The sequence below is a fragment of the Homo sapiens genome, chromosome 2 (genome assembly GCF_000001405.40).
Source record: "Homo sapiens chromosome 2, GRCh38.p14 Primary Assembly".
Taxonomy (NCBI): domain Eukaryota; kingdom Metazoa; phylum Chordata; class Mammalia; order Primates; family Hominidae; genus Homo; species Homo sapiens.
The window spans coordinates 48,348,677-48,369,950 of record NC_000002.12 but is presented as its reverse complement, the minus strand read 5'-3'; the positions used below and the strand labels follow the sequence as shown (position 1 = coordinate 48,369,950).

The following is a 21,274-nucleotide window of genomic DNA, read 5'->3' as shown; positions in this document are numbered from 1 at the left end:
ATGGCTCACTGTAGCCTCAACCTCCCAGGCTCAAACGATCCTTCAACCTTAGCTTCCCAAGTAGCTGGGACCACAGGCATGTACCACCGCACCTGGCTCATTTTTATTTTTATTTTTTGTAGAGATATGGTTTTACCGTGTTGCCTGAGCTCAAGTGATCCTCCCGCCTCAGGCTCCCAAAGTGCTGGGATTACAGGTGTGAGCCACCGTGCCCAGCCTAAATTTTCTTTTTAATAAAAAGGATCTACCTTGTTTCTAATTTTATAAAAGAGGAAGGTGACGGTAAAATAATCTAACAAGAAAATGCATTATAATGAGAAACCAATTACAGAAACTTTATCTTATAAATGAAGCACCTATAAAATATACTTACTAAAAAATTAGTATATCTCTAACTTGACTTCTTTTTTTTGAGATGGAGTTTCACTCTTGTCGTCCAGGCTGGAGTGCAATGGCACCATCTCAGCTTACTGCCACCTCTGCCTCCTGGGTTCAAGTGATTCTACTGCCTCAGCCTCCTGAGTAGCTGGGATTACAGGCACTCGCAACCACAGTCAGCTAATTTTTGTATTTTTAGTAGAGATGGGGTTTCATCATGTTGGTCAGGCTGGTCTTGAACTCCTGACCTCAGATGATCCACCCGCCTTGGCCTCCCAAAGTGCTGGGATTACAGGCGTGAGACCCCCGCCTGGCCTAACTTCACTTCTTTTAACAAACATCCATTATGATTCAAGGAACATTATTTTGAAACACAACACCTAAAACTGGTAAGAGGCTTATCCTGATAACATAAGAAAGCTACATGAATACCATTTCTGAATATTGTAAAGTGTTAACAAATTAAGTACTGTTTCTATAACAGTAGAATGGTAGGAAAAATACACCTTAAATAGATTTATTTATGGTAGATAACTTATAGCCAAATTAATTTGAAATCTCCAACATGAAATTAACTTTGTGAAACCAAACACTTCTTTGCAAAAGGATTTTGCCTGTATCTTATTTGTTTAAAACATTTATAAGTGTGCTTCCTGCAATGCCTTGCCAATTAACTGTGAAAAAAAGTTTAACTTCAACATTAAAAATAAGCAATGAATGATCCAAATCACCATCATAATAGAGAACACCTGATTATCAATGATTTGTCCAAGGTACAGTCTTGAACTTTGTGGAACAAAAGCAATAAAAATTCTCTGGGTAGAAATTACAATTTTTAATTATAGTACCCAATCTATTTTCGTTGATTCGTTCGTTATTTATCAACAGGGTCTCACTCCGTTGTCCAAGCTGGAGTGCAATGGTGCAATCATGGCTCACTGCAACCTTCACCTCCCAGGTTCAAGTGATCTGCCCACCTCAGCCTCTCGTGTAGCTGGAACCACAGGTGTGTACCACCACGCCCGGCTAATTTTCATATTTTTGGTAGAGATGGGGTTTCACCATGTTGCCCTAGAGATGGGGTTTCACCATGTTGCCCAGGCTGGTCTTGAACTCCTGAGGGATCCATCTCGGCCTCCCAAAGTGCTGGGATTACGAGCATGAACCACCGCGTTCAGCCAATTTTGCTATGAAATTTAAACTGAAGACTCATTTGTTTATTGTCACATTTGAAAATACTTCATAATGGTATTTTTTCATTGATAAAGTACTTTATTCTATTTTAAAGGTGGCTCTGTTTTTAAAAACAATAACACTATTAGCTGTATTATCTAACATATCCAGTTCAAAAGGAACCAAAATTTGATAGTTTCAAACATGCTACTGATTTCATAACTGGTTCAAACAAAACCGTGTCAACACCATGAATTTGGCTAAGCGTGGTGGCTCACACCTGTAATCCCAGCACTTTGGGAGGCCGAGGTGGGTGGATCACTTGAGGTCAGGAGCTCGAGACCAGCCTGGCCAATATGGTGAAACCCGTCTCTACTAAAAATACAAAAATTAGCCGGGTGAGGTCATACGCGTCTGCAATCCCAGCTACTTGGGAGGCTGAGGCAGGAGAATCACTTGAACCCAGGAGGTGGAGGTTACAGTGAGCGAAGATCGTGCCACTGCACTTCCAGCCTGGTTGACAGAGCGAGACACCATTTCAAAAAACAAAAAATAAACAACAATTTAAAAAACTTGTTAATTTGTGCCTGTTGGTTTTTATTTCCTTAACCTTGATGTTGGGAAATGATTAAAAATAATTAAAAACAATTCAGACACTAGTTTTAGCCATATGAGAGTAAGGTTATAAGTCGAGCATATTTCTGTTGTTTGACTCTCAGTCCATTTGTGTAAGGAATGATATGAGAACTATAGAAATAATTCAAATGGTATAAGCTTTGTAGTAATTACAAAAGGATTTATTGTCTCTATCAAAACTAATATATACATTTGCAGAGCATCCAGATGGAGAAGCTGTCTCTTGTAATTCTCTGAAGTAGAAGAATAGTTTCAATAAATTACCAACACTTTAAGCTGTCTGGACCACTGGTTTAGTTTCATTTCAGTAAGACACAAATCTTAGCTTTACATGTAGCCCTAACATCACCATCAACTACCTTAATTTTATATCTGTTTGTAGTATACCAGGTGCTTTTAGCAGTTAGTATAACTACTAAAATTTACTAACTGGAATGTGAGTTCCATTTTTGTCTGCTTTTTTCACTGATGTACCTTGGTGTCTAGAACAGCTCAGTAATATTTTTAAACAGGTGAATTTACTCTAAATACACACCAAACCAAACTATTGACCAAAAAAAATTTCGTTCTGCTATCTCAGTGTAAGAATCCTGTGTCTCCTGCTATCTATTATACAATGCCATAACATTGATACTGTCACATAAAAGTCATTGTAAGTTGATCAAGAGACAACAAACACACTGCTGCACCTGTTTAGGCTGATAACAGTTTCTGGAGTTCTAAGCCTAATCTCTCCCTTTAGTTTTCCGTGTCTAAAGGTAGCTCTAATATAATGATCAGTAAAGATGATTCTATGAAGTGTTAGATGAATATGTAAGTTTTAATATTGGAGGCCAATGATAATACCTAAGTGATCTTTATAAAACATAAAACTGACGATGTCACTTCACTATTTAAAGTTCTTCAGCAGGTCTCCCAGTGCCACTTATCTAGTAGGAGTCAGGCTTTGAAATTAGAATTATTCAATCTGAATCCTTCTTTGCCACTTACTAGTTGTGTGACCTTGAGAAGTTACTTAATCTCCCCAAACTTCAGTTTGCTTATCTGTAAAAGAGGGGCAGCAATACCTCAGAGGGTTGTTTTAAGGATTAAATTAGATAATGCATGCAAAGCATCAAGTAAGCAACTTAAGGCTTATTAATTGTTCTAGGCAGAGGAGGATGTTCAAAGTCCTTATTATGCTAAATAAGCTCTTAAACTTCTGCTACATTTGCCTTGCCCACGCAAATGACCACATCTACCTGGTCTATATCAACATGCCAGACAGATTCCTAGCAACTGCCAGACAACTCTCTCTATTGTTATGATTCTCTCTGCCAGGGAGAACTTTTGTTCCACAAAGTTTGAGGTTGTACCTTGGACAAATCGTTGATAATCAGGTGTTCTCCATCATTTTTTTTTTTTTTTTTTGGAGTCTCACTCTGTCACCTAGGCTGGAGTGCAGTGGCGCGATCTCGGCTCACTGCAATCTCCACCTCCCAAGTTCAAGTGATTCTCCTGCCTCAGCCTCCTGAGTAGCTGGAATTACAGGCGTGTGCCAACACACACCCAGCTAATTTTTGTATTTTTAGTAGAGATGGGGTTTCACCATGTTGGCCAGGCTGGTCTTGAACTCTTGATCTCATGTGATCCACCTACCTCGGCCTCCCAAAGTGCTGGGATTATAGGCGTGAGCCACTGTGCCCAGCCAAAGTATATATTTTCTAAGAGCAGGGCCTGGGTCTCTCATCTATGCATATCCCAAGGAACCTCCAACAGTGTCTGGCACAAGGAGTCTGGCTCAACAGTATTAGTTGTAATGAATGTCTAATCCACTTGGTGTTTTTTAAACTTCTCTCTAGAAATAATATAAAGAGGCAAGAGAAAATTTCCTCAGAAATATACCCCAAAACAACCAAGTTCAAAAATAAAATTCCCTAAATTTTTGTGAGGTTTTATGTTTTCTTCCCTTAAAATTCATGGAGAATTTTGTATTATATTCCAGGACAGATGTGCATTTGTTTTAACCTAGAATGCCAACGACCTCCCCACTAAGTTAATTATTACTAGAGGAACAGGCCTAAGACTCATGCATATAGGAATGGAGGTAAGGTGCTGGTAGCACTAGACAGATGATGCATAATACGTACAAGTCATTAGATGAAGAAGAAGTACCTGTGCCCTAGTAAATGAAAAACATGCAGGTGAAACTAGCAGCAAAAACTTGTGGAAATGTCTGTTCCCCAAAGAAAGAAAGAATTTGGATAGAACAGAACAAGAGCAAGAAAAGATTTAAGTAAACTCCAGAATTCACAAAGAAAATGTTCTCAAGATATGTATACGAACTGAGCTTTAGAGAATAAGTGTCAGACTTTATTGAGGCAATACAAAGATAAAGGCATTTTGGCAATACCTAAATGTAAAGAGAAACCACATTTGACTGATGTAGGTAACAGGAACACGGATATTTGTCTTATGTTAAGGCAGAACATTATTTGAAACAGATCCCCTATCCATTTAACTTCTTTGCAGGGTTCTCTAGAACTTTTTCATATTCTTTTCCTCCTTTATTTTTAAAGATATCAGCACACTGCTTCTGAGGCTCAGTTTAGTATAGTTCCAAAGAGCCAAAATATTTCTGATACACAGAAAGGTTTTCATCTGAAATTTTCTATTTTTAAAGGTTATGAAAATGTCTCCAGGCTCCAAAGCAACGCTAGGAAAACTGATTTTAATATACTACTAATCTACAAGAAAAAAACCCACTAATTCAGAATTTTGATATACTTTTAAAAAGTCAACTTATTATCTTTTAAAATTAAAGTTCTTCAGATTAAATAACCTACAGGAGAAATATCTTCAAGCATATTCTAATTTGAGGGATGACAAACTTCTTCAGTAAAGGGTCAGAAGGTAAATATTTTAGGCTTTGCATGCTAAGAGGCAAAACCCAGGATATAATATGTAGGTCTCTGTTGCAATGAATTTTCACAGTCTTGAAATTTTATTGTTATTTGATTTTGTTTTCTCCAACCATTTTACAAATGTAAAACCATCCTTAGCTCATGGGACACCCAAAAACAGATGTCAGGCCAGAAATGGCCATGGGCCATAGTTTGCCAACCCCTTTTCTAGTCTAAGATAGACCTGAAAAGGTAATAACTCTACTGATATTACTAAAAAATTCAATCCTATTTTCAATGAAAAATACCCATAAAAATAAATGGAAAAGGGATATAAAACTGTATACACAGTGTGAATCTAGTATCTGGAGAAAAAGTATGTGTGTGTTTATGTATGTGTCCCTGTACATACACGCATGCAAGTGTATCTATTCACATATGTGGCATTAAAAAAACCCCAAAGGAATTATATCAAAATGTTAACAACAAAATTAGCCAGGTGTAATGGCACCTGTAGTCCTAGCTACTTGGGAGGCTAAGGTGGGAAGATGGCTTAAGCCCAGGATTGTGAGGCTATGGTGAGTCATGACTGTGCCATTGCCCTCTGGCCTGGGTGACAGAGTGAGAACCTGTCTCAAATAAATAAATAAATAAATAAAAATAAAATATTAACAATGGGATAAATGACTTTACTTTCTCTTTAATAAATGTTTTTATTGCCCAAATTTCCTATAATAAATACATAATACTTGTTAAAATAGAAAAATGTTAAACAGCAACAACAAAATATCCCAAATTTTTATCTGAATTTTTTATGAATTAAAATACAGTCATGTGCACCTGTAGTCCCACCTATTTGGGAAGCTGAGGTAGGAGATCACTTGAGCCCAGGCATTCAGAAGATCAGTGTGGGCAACATGGCAAGACGCCATCTCTTAAAAATAAAACAAATAAATAAAAATGCAGTCATACTTTGTTTAATGACGGGAATATGTTCTGAGAAATGTACTGTTAGGTGATTTTGTCACTGTGTGAACATCATAGAGTGTGCTTAAACCTAAATGGTATAGCCTACTACACACCTAGGATTGCTCCTGAGCTACAAATCTGTACACCATGTTACTGTACTGAATACTATAGGTAATTGTATCACAAATGGTATTTGTGTATCTAAACACAGAAAAGGTACAGTAAATGATCTATTAGTTTCTGCCAGGGAACAAAAAAGGGGGTACAATAAAAACACTATACAAATATTTAAAATGGTACACCTGTATAGGGTACTTACCATGAATGAAGCTTGAAGGACCGGAATTGCTCTGGGTGAGCCAGAGAGTGTTAGTGGTGAGTGAATGTAGAGGCCTAGGATATTACTGTACACTACTGTAGACTTTATAAACAGTGTACACTTAGGCTGCACTAAATTGATTTTTTAATTTTTTCTTTCTTCAATAATACATTAACCTTAGTTTACTGTAAACTTTTACTTTATAAACTTTTTAATTTTTTAAATTTTTACTCTTTTGTAATAACAGCATAAAATACATAATACAGCTGTATAAAAATATTTTATTTATAACCTATAAGCTTTTTTCTATTTTTAAATTAACTTTTTTTAAACTTTTTAGTTAAAAACAAAGATACAAATACACACATTAACCTGAGCATACACAGGGTCAAGATCAATATCACTGTCTTCTGCCTCTACATTTTTGTCCCACTGGAAGGTCTTTAGGGACAATAAACACAGAGAGCTGTCATCTTACTGTAACAATGCCTTCTAGAATACCTCCTAAAGGACCTGTGTGAGGCTCTTTTACAGTTAACTTTTTTTAATTGGTGGAAGGAGTATACTCAAAAATAACAGTAAAAAGTATAGTAAATACATAAACTAGTGACATAGTTTATTACCATTATCAAGTATTAACATATGTACATAACTACGTGCTATACTTTTACAGGACTAGCAGTGCAGTGAGTCCGCTTGCACCAGCATCACCACAAACTTCAGTAAATGCGTTGTGCCACAATGTTACAACAAGCTACCAGGGCACCAGGCAATAGAAATTTTTCAGCTCCATTATAATCTTAGGGGACCACCATTGTTATGCACTGCCTGTTGTTGACCAAAAGATTGTTGTGTGGTGCATGACTGTACTGATATTCACACATACCTTTGAGGTTTCGCACCTGGTTCTGCTTGATTACAGAGCTTAAATAGTGAGGTGATAAAGAACCACTGAAAAACAAACAGAAAAGCAAATATGCTTATAAAAATGTTTACTTCACTTTTTCCCCCTAATTTTTGACAGGTTCTCTCTCACTCTGCTGGCCGCCCAGGCTGGAGTGCAGTGGCATGATTTCAGCCTACTGCAGCCTTGACTTTCTGAGCTCAGGTGATCCTCCCACCTTAGCTGCCTGAGTGGCTGGGACCACAAGCATGCACTACCATGTGTGGCTAATTTTTTAATTTTTTTTGGTAGAGAAAGGGTTTTACCATGTTGTACAAGCTAGTCTCAAACTCCTGGGCTCAAGCAGTCTACCTGCCTTGGCCTCCTACAGTGCTGGAATTACAGGCGTGAGCCACTTGCACCCAACTATTTCACTTTTTATAGAACTTAGTCACAAATACAGCTAATTTGTACCACCAAAAACAAACTATTTTTACCTTGTTTTCTTTGCTAATACTACTCAATTTAGAAAGTCTGCCAAAGCAGAAAGAGCATAGGAGCCAAAAGAGGTAAATCACAACTATTTGGATGTTCTTAGGCAAAATAATTAATCTCTTAGCTTCTTCATCTGTAAAATAGGAATAATTAAATCTCCCACATAGGCTGTTGTGATAATTAAATAATAATAATGCATTTAAAATGCCTGGAACTATAGATAATACATGATAGTTACTGTTTGGTTTTGCATTGGATTCTTAAGTTTGATATAATACTAATATAGGTATTACCACAAAAATAAAAGCATTTACCAAAATTCATGGTTAAGGAACACTTGGTAGTGATAGCAAACAGGTATGTTCCTGATTTTATTAATAAACATAAAATTAAACTTTCTATATTCATGGAAAGACACCAACAGTTCTTTTTTTAATCCAGGAATTAAAATATTTTTGGGAAAAACTACTTCTCTTCTTTGGAATTTATGATAGCATGAAAAAAAAATCTATTTGTTAACGAACTTAAAAGTTTATTTCCTATTCATAGTTTTACATATACTGTATCTCACTCTTTTCCTCAGACTTACAAATTCTTATATGCAAGGGCTACACAAAAGCATGTCAGATGGAACTGTTATTTTGCCAAACAACATAAAGGGCAAAATGTTTCATTTTATATTAAGGGTTTAAAGTCAAAAGGTTATATATAACCCTTATGTTGTAGTTTAATCTTTTTTTTTTTTTTTTGAGACACAGTCTCGCTCTGTCGCCCAGGCTGGAGAGCAGTGGCGCAATCTCGGCTCACTGCAACCTCTGCCTCCTGGGTTCAAGATGATTCTCTTGCCTCAGCCTCCCGAGTAGCTGGGGTTACAGGCGCGTGCCACCACACCCAGCTGACTTTTGTATTTTTGGTAGAGACGGGTTTCAACATGTTGGCCAGGCTAGTCTCAAACTCCCGACCTCAGGTGATCCACTGGCCTCGGCCTACCAAAGTGCTGGGATTACAAGCTTGAGCCACCTCACCTGACCATAGTTTTTATCTTCTTTTAAAGCCACAAGATCACTTTTAACATTTAAACTTATGATTAAGGCTAAAAGATAGAAACATGAAAATACAATATATCAAAGACAGCAAAATATATTTGTGATGGTTTACAAAAAATGGTGCCAATTCTTTCATATAATCTTTTTTTTTTTTTTGAGATGGGGTCTCAGTCTGTCACCCAGGCTGGAGTGCAGTAGCACCATCTTGGCTCATTGCAACATCTGCCTCCCAGGCTCAAACGATCCTCCCACCTCACCCTCCTGAGTAGCTGGGACCACAGGCGTGCACTACCCATGCCCAGCTAATTTTTGTATTTTTGGTAGAGACAGGGTTTCTCCATGTTGTCCAGGCTTAATCTTCAGCAAAAAAAAAAAAAAACCCAACACAGCTAAGTAAAACACATAGGTGAACATCAGTAGAACTCACCATTAGTTTCTAAATTATTATTTAAAATGCCTCATAATAACCAAAATTAATTAATAAAGATATCAATTTCCAAGTAAGAATATAAAATCTGGTAACTTCTTTTCTAGGTTTCATTTCATAAAGATAAACCACTCAGTTATTCTTTTTATAATGATCCATCTAATCTATAATATGGTAAAGAAGCTTAAAATCTCAGTGAGTGAATATATTACTGATATTTCAACTTTAGCCTTCCCAGCTATTTACTGTATTCCAGCTACAACCACTCCTCTACAAGTTATCTAACAATACTTTAAGAATTCAAATTAACCACTATATGAAACGTTGATGATTGCTGCAGCTGGGAGTTCATTATAACTTTCTCTCTACTTTTTTCCATGTTTAAAAATTTCCATTTATTACTTTATTAAAAATCTTTTTAAATTTTTCAAAAAACAAGTTAGCCATTATAAACTACCCTTAAAGTATTTTAACCAAATCTGGGATTTTCAATTCAAATGAAGGTATATAATAAATTGGAGAAGACTCTAAAGTCTTCTTTAGAAAAAGGAAACAAAAATCAGATTTAAGAAGGTCATATTATTTTCCGATTTAACTTAAAATGAGGAAGCTAGAAGATCAACAGGGGTTACTGGGATTGAAAACAAAGACAAGGAAAATTATAAGCAAATACAGTACAACTATATTTACCAGAAAAAATAAAAACAAAGTTCAAAGCATTATTTTATTTGCCAAACATTTAAAAATTTTAGACTTGAACATACTTTTCAAATATTAAGTACTACGAAAAAAACCTAAAACAGAAAAAGAAACCTACATATGTATATAAAATGTTATAATGACAAACTTAATAATCTTGTTAAAAAATTTTAAATGTATTTTTAATTTCCTTCATTTTTAGGTTAGCATTAGTATTGCAGACAATTAAAATGATCTGACCTGTTTGTAACTGAAATTATATTACAACTTTCTTTAGGGTTTACTTATACTCAGTATTGACTATATTTCCCAGAGTGTATGTTCTCAAGTCACCAATTTCCTGTATTCTAGAAACACAAATTAGACCATAAGGAAAACTAACTTAGGCTAATGTCTTATCCATAAATACTTCTTAAAAAAAGAAAAGAAAAGAAAAGAAAAGAAAAAACAGGCCGAGGATGGTGGCTCACGCCTGTAATCCCAGCACTTTGGGAGGCAGAGGTGGGAGGATCACTTGAAGTCAGGAGTTAGAGACCACCCAGGCCAACATGGTGAAACCGTGTCTCTACTAAAAAGACAAAGATTAGCTGGGAGTGGTGGTGCTTGCCTGTAGTCCTAGCTACTAGGGAGGCCGAGGTGGGAGGATCACCTGAACCCAGGAGAGGGAGGTTGCAGTGAGCCGAGATCTCGCTACTGCACTCCAGCCTAGGTGACAGAGTAAGACTGTGTCCACAAAACAAAACAAAAACAAAAACTAAAAACTAAAAACTAAATAAAACATAAATACTTCTTTATACAATAAAACAGAAACATAATACCCTGGACCTTTAAGTTTCTCCATCTCACACAGTGAAATCCTATAAATCACCACTGACAGTTATATGGAAGATCCTTACTTTTGTGAAGATGCTGAAGAAAAAGGTTGCTTCTTCAGTGCCTGGATAAGATTGGGTTTATATTCCGGATCAACACACCATAAGGAACCTTTTCCATTAACCTAGAATAAAATGCACAAGAATAACTAGGAACTTTTATACATAAACAGTCAGCGTCTAAATGTTTTAAATAAATGTGCAGGGGTAAATAATCTCTAGCACCTTTTGAGTATGAAACTAAGGTTGAAGTGAGCTTGCTATGTGTGCACTGTAGTGACTAAAAGGGATTCATCCTATGATGTACAAAACTTCCTCTAATTCACAAGATTAGTGAGGTTCAAATGTTATTAGCTTCTGGTTTTATATTATGCCTTTTCTACTTCAAAAACTCTTTCTTAAAATTTGAATTACCTTTACGACTACATTAACAATTATTTAGATAACAACAAAATTTACTTGTTTCCCATTCTCATACTCCTTTTTGCGTGTATCAAATCTTCTATGATATAAGCTATTATGATTGCTATTAAGATTTAATGTGATGATCTCCAGAGTCCTTCCATTTCCCACACTCTTTTTCAAGGTACTACTAGTCTATTATTGACGCTCTTTTATCTCTGAATATCATTTCATAATTTTTATAGCAGAATGGCAAAATGAAAGAACACCGTTCTATAGGTTCAAAAACCAAGGTCCCGATCACTACTTATTGACTGGCTATGTGATATTGGGCAAATCATTTAATTTTTGAGAGTCAGACTTCTCATTTACATTTTACCCGTAAAGTAAAACAACAATGCAGGCCACTTCACTGAATTGTAATGAGATTCAAATAAGAGGATTTATATGCAAGAGACATAGCTGCAAAATAGGTGAATATTAAGGGGCCATTCTGAAACTGACGTACGTAAGGGTTGCTGCATGTTGGTTGAATAATAGTATGTTCCTACTCCTTTACTTTCCACCGAGGAGGGAATTTTGAAAAAAAAACGACAATAAGAAAAAAATACATTAGTTCTGAATAAAAGGCAAAAGTTAGGTGGTAAAAAAAAACGGGATAAAATTAATTTAGGAGAGAATAAAACCTTTTGCCTGTGAAAAGGTGTAGCAATTGAGTGTAAGGCAGTTTTTTACTATGCTGGCAATTTATATAAATAGAAAAACCATGGTTGTCATATCACACTATCATAAAGAAAGAAATGCACTGGATTATCAGGAGAAACATTTTCCTGGTGTTTAGCAGCAAGATATCACATTAACTATACTAAAAAAGTATTTGACATTTTCTTTTTTTTTTTTTTTTTTTCAATAAAAGACAAGTTTTACAAATGTATTTTTGGATTAAATGAAACTTCTTAACTTAGCTATATGTTCAGTCACCTGGACCAAATGATAAATGTGTTTTGATGACAAGGAAAAAAATGTTAGCACCAGGCCAGGTGCGGTGGCTCACGTCTGTAATCCTAGCACTTTGGGAAGCCGGCGAAGGTGATTGCTTGTGCTCAGGAGTTCAAGAGCAGCTTAAGCAACATAGCAAAACTCTGTCTCTACAAAAATAGAAAAAATTAGCCTGGTGTGGTGGTGCGCGCCTATAGTCTCAGCTATTCAGGAGGCTGAGGCCAGCCTGGGTGACAGAGTGAAACGCTGTCTCAAAAAAAAAAAAAGGAAGAATTAAAATGTTAGCACCTACAACATCTTTTGCCCCAAAGCCAATTCAGTTTCATATAGAAAAGATACGCAGCATTACTTTTCATACACAGACCAAGACAATTATTTTAATAATGCTAGCCATGCTCTACCTTGGAATTCCTGAGATTACGCTCCTAGAAATTGTTTAGTTCAAGTCTACTTTTCAAATTCTATTGTGAGGGGACTGCAAATTGTTTTGATCACAGTAGAGTTGCTATTTCCTTGAAATAGCAAATTGGAAAAACTGGTATTGAAAACGTGCAGTTTCAGGGCAGTTAAGTATCTTGAGTATGGTCTCAAGTAACAGTCTGGTTTACGTTACCATGGCAGCACTTCCTTTCACTGGGTCTGTTCATGAACTATCATGAACAAGAGATAAAACTCTGTATTTGCTAATCTACATTTTAAAGTCTACAGCAAAAAGAAACTTATTTGTAACTAATTTTCCACTTAAAAGCTTTGGTCCTATATTATTGGGCTTAGATGAGAGAATACAAATAATAACTGTTTAAAACTAAATTTGCCTATAACAAAATAGCCTTCTGTGCTACGGAAACAGGAAATGAGCATTCTCTCATTTTATTATTTTGCGTTTTAGAACTCTAAGGCTTCTGAACTTACTTGGTAGAGAACTGCTAAAGGTTTTGAAGAAATTTTGAATATACTAAAAGGTGAACTTTAAAAAGAATTGTCTTAACAGAAGTGGTAAAGACTAGATTGGGAGAAAAGGCAACGTTCATTATTCCTAAAATGTTTTTATGAACTTGTCCTGTATATTTTAATAGAGTTGCTCACCTTGTCTACTACCAAAAAGAAGGCAAAATGGCAAGGCCTAGATAAAACTATAAAGTGGTAATGATTTTCAGTGGCTTTTAGAACCTCTGAATTAAAAATAATTAACTGATTAAAATTTTACCACACTAGGAAAAAATTTAATTCCATGTTTCCCAGCTAAAGTCTCATAGTAATAATGTTTAAGATGGGCTTTATAAAAATTTAGAAAAGTACATACAAGACTTGGATATTAACTTTTTTTTTTTTGAGACAGTCTCGCTGTGTCAATCAGGCTGGAGTGCAGTGGCGCGATCTCGGCTCACTGCAACCTCCGCCTCCCAGGTTCGGACGATTCCCTTGCCTCAGCCTCCCAAGTAGCTGGGATTACAGGTGTGCACCACCATGCCCGGCTAATTTTTGTATTTTTAGTAGAGACAGGGTTCCACCATGTTGGCCAGCCTGATCTCGAACTCCTGACCTCAAGTGATCCACCTGCCTCGGCTCCCAAAGTGTTGGGATTACAGGCGTGAGCCACCACGCCTGGCCAATTTTTATTTTTATTTTTATTTATTTTTTAAATTGGAGACAGAGTCTTGCTCTGTCATCCAGGATGGAATGCAGTGGCACGATCTTGGCTCACTGCAACCTCTGCCTCCGGGTTCAAGTGATTGTCGTGTCTCAACCTACCAGAGTGCTGGAATTACAGGTGTAAGTGCCACTGTGCCCAGCCAGATGTTAACATTTAAAACATAAAGCCCAAACCAAAGCAAGCTGAACCAAAAGACAACCATATATAATTTTAACAAATTTAAAATCCAGAGACAAATAAATACCAAACCAGGATTGTTAGACCTGTCTTTTCAGAGTAGTAAAAATGGTATGATGATAGGGAGAAAAACATCTTAATCAGCAGCTGTATCAGCTGGCTATCATTATCCCTTCATAGTTTGATCTAGACCTTGCCATTCTGCCTCCTATTGGGATTATCATCTCTAGATAACCGCCATTCATCAGAAAAGTGCTGTCAAGGTTGCCAAATGCAATGCTAACATTTAGTGCAACTAAGTATATTTGGCTTCCACAGATTGGAAGAAAAATACTGTCATTCTGTCACTGACCCAAGAAACATTTCATAAATTAAAAAAAAAAAATCCACATGCATTCCCAAATCTACTTGAATGTATCTCTTTCTGTCTAAATCTCAGACATTTAGGCAAAATAGTTAACTGATTTTTATGAGACGATTTACAAGTTCCTTCCCTCCCACCCTGACTCGTGGTGATAGCTTGCTAATTTTTATGCCAATATATTACCATTTCTATATTTATCCCTTTTTTAAAATTGTAAGATGATTTCTCTCCTTTTCGTTATCAAATTCTACCTATACTCTGGACTGCATCCTTTCCCATTCTCTAGCTCTCACTTCCTTAATTTCTTCCTTTCTCTGAACATTCAAAACACTCAGATTAATTACATTAAAAATGTATACATTTAAAAATTATAGATGTGACCAACTCCCTTTTGAGTATTATCACAAATCATACTATTGGACATATGGTTTTGTAACTTTTACTAAAAATAATACCACTGTGAATATTTTCACATACATCTTCTTGTATGCAACTATGAATGTTACTCTAGGGGAGAAATCAGAATATGATCTGCTAGATCAAAGAAGAGCCCATTTCTAATTCTAGTAACTACTGCCCTCAAGAATGGTCATATTAATGTACTCCTATCAATGATGTGAAAGTATCAATATTTACTCATGTCCTCAAATATTTAAAATTTTTGAATTCTAATAGATAAAAAAGCATTTTTTGTTCTTTTAATTTGAATGTCCCTCACACACATTACTAGTAAGATAAACATCTTTGTTTATGTTTATTGCCTATTTGTGTTTCCTCCTCTGTGAACTGCCTATTCATATACTTGCCCATTTTTCTATTAGATTTTCATTTTCTTATTAAATTATATGAGTTTCTTCTATAATGGTATACTGTTGATAGTAAACATTGCTTCTCAACTCCACATTTAGCAAAAGCTAAACAGCCTGTCCCTAGCCAGTTGTTAAACATTTATCAGCACAGCACTTTTTTTTGTTTTTGAGACGAAGTCTCGCTCTGTTGCCAGGCTGGAGTGCAGTGGCACAGTCTCGGCTCACTGCAACCTCTGCCTCCTGGGTTCAAGTGATTCTCCTGCCTCAGCCTCCCAAGTAGCTGGGATTACAGGCACACGCCACCACACCCAGCTAATTTTTGTATTTTTAGTAGAGATGGGGTTTCACTCTGTTGGCCAGGCTGGACTTGACCTCTTGACCTCGTGATCCGCCCACCTCAGCCTCCAAAAGTGCTGGGATTACAGGTGTGAGCCACCGCGCCCAGCCAGCACAGCACTTATTATATATTTTGAATCCTAATCTTTTGGCTGCTACTTTCTCAACAACTTCTTCTTAGCCAATCATTTTCAAGTGTTCTGCAACATTTGACACTGTTGGCCATTCACACTTCAGCTTAGCTTCCTTGGCTTCATTACACCATACTTTTCCTAGATTATTCCACTCAGAAGCAATGCTGATAAATTCCAAACTTAAGAGCTGTAATCTCACCACATCACCTCTATTCCTGCCTATATTTCTAAGTACCTAGTAGATGGTTACCTTTTATGTACCATCATAAGTATAAACACAATAGTTCTAAAAGTATAAAAGAATTAAGTGACACAATTCAAGAATAAAATCACTAAGGAAATTCTAAATGCATAAACAATAGCAAACAATGACACTGTTAACTATAAGGGTAAATTTAAACGGAGACTACATAAAATAATTATGAAATATGTACAGTGTTTAAAAAAAAAAGACAGAGGATAACAATACCAACACAACAGAGGAAAAAGAATAAAGGGAGATCAATTTCAAAGAAGGCAAAGAGAAGGAAGGATAGGGAGATGATTTTCACTGTAGCAGTGTTTATAACAAAAAATTAGAAACCCAAATGTTCATCCACATCACAATTAAAGAGAATTATGCATTAAGATGAAAAAAGATGCTGAGCTTTTAAAAGGTTATTGAATAATATCACTCCCCCCTTTCTCTTTCACACACACACACACACACACACACACACACACACACACACACACACACACACAGTCTTAAGTGACTATTCTACTAAGGCCTTGACCTCAGAGAGCTCTCATATCTTCCCTAGTGGGAGAAGCAAATCTATACATAACTGGGATATGTATGTTATAAAGGTAACAAACAGAATGCTATAAAAACACAAAATGAGTACAAAAAAGCAGGAAATGCTTGAGAGGTGACTTCTGAGCTGGGCTTTGAGGAAATGTTCTCTCCACTGAAAGTGAATTACGAAAATGCAGTGTAGATAGAGGAACAAAATAAACAAGGACTATTTATAGTATACTGGAATAGCAAGTAGTCTTGTGGGGGTAGATCATGGAGTAGTGAAGAAAAAAAACTGCAAAGACAGGCAGAAGCCAAACTGGGGAGGGTCTTGAAAACCATGTTAACAAGTTTGGCTTTTATTTAGTAAGTCATATTTACTAAAGGTTACTAGTTACAAAAACTGAAGTAAAAATGAGGCTCAGAGAGTCTAACTTTACCAAGTCACACATCTATCTGGATCTAGGAACATACCTGAATCCAATCCTTCATGCTGACTCCTCAACTTATATAATAGTTCAATTTGATGAGAAATGAGGGGAAGACCTGAACTAAGGCCAATGTTATGGTAGAAACTAAAAGAAATGGCCAGAATCAAAAAGCAACTTGTAGGTATTTATAGGTGCTACTAGATACTGCTTTTTCTTGAATCTAACCCCTGGCTTTGACAGGCTTTCTAGACCAGGATCAATTAATACCACGTATCTCACTTTTTTGGTTATAAAATAAGGAAGTTCATCAGGATAATGTCTATATTCCTTTCAAATTTGACATTCAAATAACTTAGGCATTGCAAAGAGCAGGTACCCAAGATGACTCAGATTTCTAGCTGAGACCCAAATAGATCCTTGGAGAAGAGAGAGGAATAAAGTCCAATTTCGGACACACTGAATTTGAGATACCTCCAGATCTAATAATTAGTTGCAAATTTACGTCTGGGCTTTAGGAGAAAGATCTAGAAGTCATAAGATCACAGACGACATATTAAGCCATGGGAATTAATGAGATTAAGAAAATACTAAATCAACAAAAAAGACAAAATAGTGAACACTAAAGTTTAAATGGCAAGTGGCAAAAGAAAAAGATGGAGAGTCCACACAGGTAAACAAAGAATTAAGCACAGTGTTATACAAATCAAAGAAAAGATGAATTCCCAGAGCTAATCATGTCATATAATGCAGTTTTAGGTTGAGTAAGACAGAAAAGAAGTCAGTGGATTTAGACATAAGGAGGGCAATGATTACAAAGTGTTCAAATCCCACATCTTCACTGAAACTATCTCTGTTTGCATGGTACTACTAACTGTAACATTCCTTTGGCAAATGAATTCAGATATTGTTTAAGGTAATATATTGCCCTATCATTCACACTGTCACAAGTCAAATACAGAGAAACTCCATCATGCTCCTGGCTTAAAAACTCTCACTGGTTTGCTCTCAAAACTGAAGTCCAAACAACTGAAGCCCAAAACTGAAGTCCAAGCATGATATTCATCACACTTCTATTCTGGATCACTCTGCTTTTCCACCCTGCTCTCGTACATTCCTCACCAACAGAGAATATGCCTACTGCCCCAAACTCCCAGCAGAATATACTATTGCCCTTTGGCATATGTTACCCTTCTAAAACCTGTTCTCTTTTTTCAAAGCACACTTCAATGGCAAACTTTTCCATAAAAATTTCCCAAATCTTTTAGTTTAGGGGTCCCCAACCCCCAAGCTGGAGACCGGTACAGGTCCATGGCCTCTTAGGAAACAGGTCACAGAGCAGGAGGAGAGTGGAAGTTGAGAAGCATTACCACCTGAGCTCTGCCTCCTGTCCGATCAGCCCATGCATTAGATTCTCACAGGAGCTCAAACCCTATTGTGAACTGTGCATGTGAGGGGATCTAGGCTGTGCGCTCCTTATGAGAATCTAATGCCTGATGATCTGAGGTGGAACAGTTTCATCCCAAAACCATATCCCATGTCCCCACCTCAGGTAGCAGAAAAACTGTCTTCCACAAAACCAGTCCCTAGCGTCAAAAGTTTGGGGACCACTGTGCTAGGTAATAATTAATCAACTTCTCTCTGACTCTGTTCATGTTGCTATTATGATATTTCTTTCTATATCGTATTATGATTAACTGTTTGCCTTCTTACTTTTTAAAACTTAAACTCCTTCACGCCAGGAACCATCTCACCACTGCACTCCAGCCTGGGCGATAGAGGGAGACTCTGTCTCACAAAACAAAACGAAAAACATTGGATTCAACTTTGGCCGAGTGCAGTGGCTCACACCTGTAATCCCAGCACTTTGGGAGGCTGAGACAGGTGGATCGCTTGAGCCCAGGAGTTAGAGACCAGCCTGGGCAGCATGGCAAAACCCTGTCTCTACTAAAATTAGAAAAAATTAGCTGGGTGTGGTGGTACATGCCTACAGTCCCAGCTACTCAGGAAACGGAGGTAACAGGATTGCTTGAACCCTCGGAGGTTGCAGTGGGCCGAGATTGAGCCACTGCACTCCAGCCTGGATGACAAAGTGAGACCCTATCTCAAAATAAAAAAAATAAAATAAATTGTAACAGAGTCCATCCTGTGAGGTGAGATGTAACATATGAACTCTTACTTTTGGCAGAGCACAGAGATGGCAGTCGTAAAAGAATGTAAGAAAAAAACAACACCCAAATTTTAAAACATTTATTAAAGACCAAATGTTAGCTAGCATGACAGCTTAGAATCCCTGACATTCCCAGAAGAAGAGTCTGCCTCCACTAGGCTAGGTCTTTTTCCACTGGCCTCCATCTGGTGCTCCAGAGGAAGACTGCAGGCAGGCCAGGAAGCCTGAGAGAGAAACCCTTATGAATGAAGACAGATGTACAGAATCTGCCAAGGTTTAGGCAAAGATCATCCATGTTCTAGACCCTGAACAAGCAAAAGGTGAAGATCAGATAGTGGTGTAGGACAGACACAAACCTGCCTATATCCTGGACTCTTCTCTAAAACAAAGCAAAAGCTGTCTGCCACTGAGGAAGAGGCAAAATACTTTGCCCACTCTAGTCCCAGGCAAAGGATGGCTGTTGCTAAAAGAGAAGTATAAAACCTAGCTATCCCCATATTTAACAAGGCAATGTGCCATGTGCCACTAGAAGAAAGGCAGAAAATCTGCTCATGCTCAAATCTGCTGATGATACAGAGAACTGCTGCCACTGGGAAAGGGAGTGGTCACTCACTTTTGTCCAAGACCTCCCACTAAGACTAGGCTGAGTTTCTCCACCATAATGGGAATGAGCAGAAAACTGGCTTGAACTCTAAAACAGCACTGTCTAAAAGGACTGTTTATGATGACAGAAATATCCTATAGCTGTTCAATATGCCAACCACTAGCCACATGTGGATAAATGGCAACTGAAGAATGCAGCTCTAGGTCTATCTTTGCCTAAATCTTGGCAGATTCTGTACATCTGTCTTCATTCATAAGGGTTTCTCTTAGGCTTCCTGGCCTGCCTGCAGTCTTCCTCTGGAGCACCAGATGGAGGCCAGTGGAAAAAGACCTAGCTAGTGGATGCAGACTCTTCTTCTTCTGGGAATGTCAGGGATTCTAAGCTGTCATGCTAGCTCACATTTGGTCTTTAATAATTTGATTTAAAATTTGGGTGGCTTCTTTTTCTTACATTCTTTTACGACTGCCATTTCTGTGCTCTGTCAAAGGTAAGAGTTCATATGTTACATCTCACGTCACAGGATGGACCCTGTCACATTTTATTTATTTATTTTTTGAGACGGAGTTTCACTCTTGTTGCCCAGGTTGGAGTGCAATGGCACGATCTAGGCTCACCACAGGTTCAAGCAATTCTCCTGCTTCAGCCTCCCGAGTAGCTGGGATTACAGGCATATGCCACCATGTCTGGCTAATTTGTTGTATTTTTCGTAGAGACAGGGCTTCTCCATGTTGGTCAGGCTGGTCTTGAACTCCCAACCTCAGGTGAACCGCCAACCTGAGCTTCCCAAAGGGCTGGGATTACAGGTATGAGCCACCACGTCCAGCTTATTTTTTTATTTTGAGACAGGGTCTCACTTTGTCATCCAGACTGGAGTGCACTGGCACAATCTCGGCCCACTGCAACCTCCGAGGGTTCAAACAATCCTCCTACCTCCATTTCCTGAGTAGCTGGGACTACATGTACCACCACGCCCAGCTAATTTTTTCTAATTTTAGTAGAGACAGGGTTTTGCCATGTTGCCCAGGCTGGTCTCTAACTCCTGGGCTCAAGCGATCCACCTGTCTCAGCCTCCCAAAGTGCTGGGATTACAGGTGTGAGCCACTGCACTCAGCCAAAGTTGAATCCAATGTTTTTCGTTTTGTTTTGTGAGACAGAGTCTCCCTCTATCTCCCAGGCTGGAATGCAGTGGTGAGATGGTTCCTGGCATTAAAGAGTACATTTTGCTACTGAAAAATGCAGCTCTAGACTCTATATTGAGTAGATGGAGAGACTGTCTGCTCCTGGGGGAGGCACAGAAAGACTCACACCTGAAGCACAGGCATGCAGAACCTGTTTAAGACTAATGCTGGAGAAGAATCAAGGATCCTACTCTGCCCCATCCAAAAGCCTTGCTCCAAGTAACAAGCAATAGCAATCTAGTGCTGTAGGAAGGGCAACAGAGAGAGCTATCTTACCTCTCTCCCAACCTCAAATGTGGCACAAGCTAGAAGATGAAGTTGTAGCAGTAATGCTGAGACAAAAAAGTCATCTATTGCTCCAGGCCTCACTTTAAACACAAAGTATTGGCAGTCCATCTCTGTAGGAGTCTGAAGAGTGTGGTGTACTGATGGTAATTACTGCAACCACAAACACTCAAAACT

The 21,274-nt window shown here is 37.6% G+C and overlaps 1 protein-coding gene across 26 annotated transcripts in view, besides 1 other annotated feature; it reads right to left on the bottom strand.

The window, feature by feature from the left end:
* Positions 1 to 21,274, bottom strand: part of FOXN2 (forkhead box N2) — a 65,637-nt gene that overhangs the window by 9,345 nt on the left and 35,018 nt on the right. For 21 of the 26 annotated variants that reach the window (XM_047444107.1, XM_047444106.1, NM_001375443.1 and 18 more), the window contains 2 exons: positions 10,804 to 10,904; positions 7,244 to 7,308 (listed from right to left, as the gene is read on the bottom strand). In XM_047444107.1, the coding sequence (XP_047300063.1) occupies positions 7,244 to 7,308; positions 10,804 to 10,904 (166 nt within the window). Of the gene's footprint in view, positions 1 to 2,330; positions 6,004 to 7,243; positions 7,309 to 10,803; positions 10,905 to 21,274 lie in introns of those variants that run through there. The other 5 variants (XM_047444112.1, XM_047444113.1, NR_164686.1 and 2 more) reach the window with 4 other exon arrangements.
* Positions 16,665 to 16,714: a silencer, noted in NCBI's record as "silent region_11479". NCBI's record gives its function as "represses an Ori minimal core promoter by ATAC-STARR-seq in GM12878 lymphoblastoid cells {active_cell/tissue: GM12878}" and the evidence as "EXISTENCE:reporter gene assay evidence [ECO:0000049][PMID:35858748]".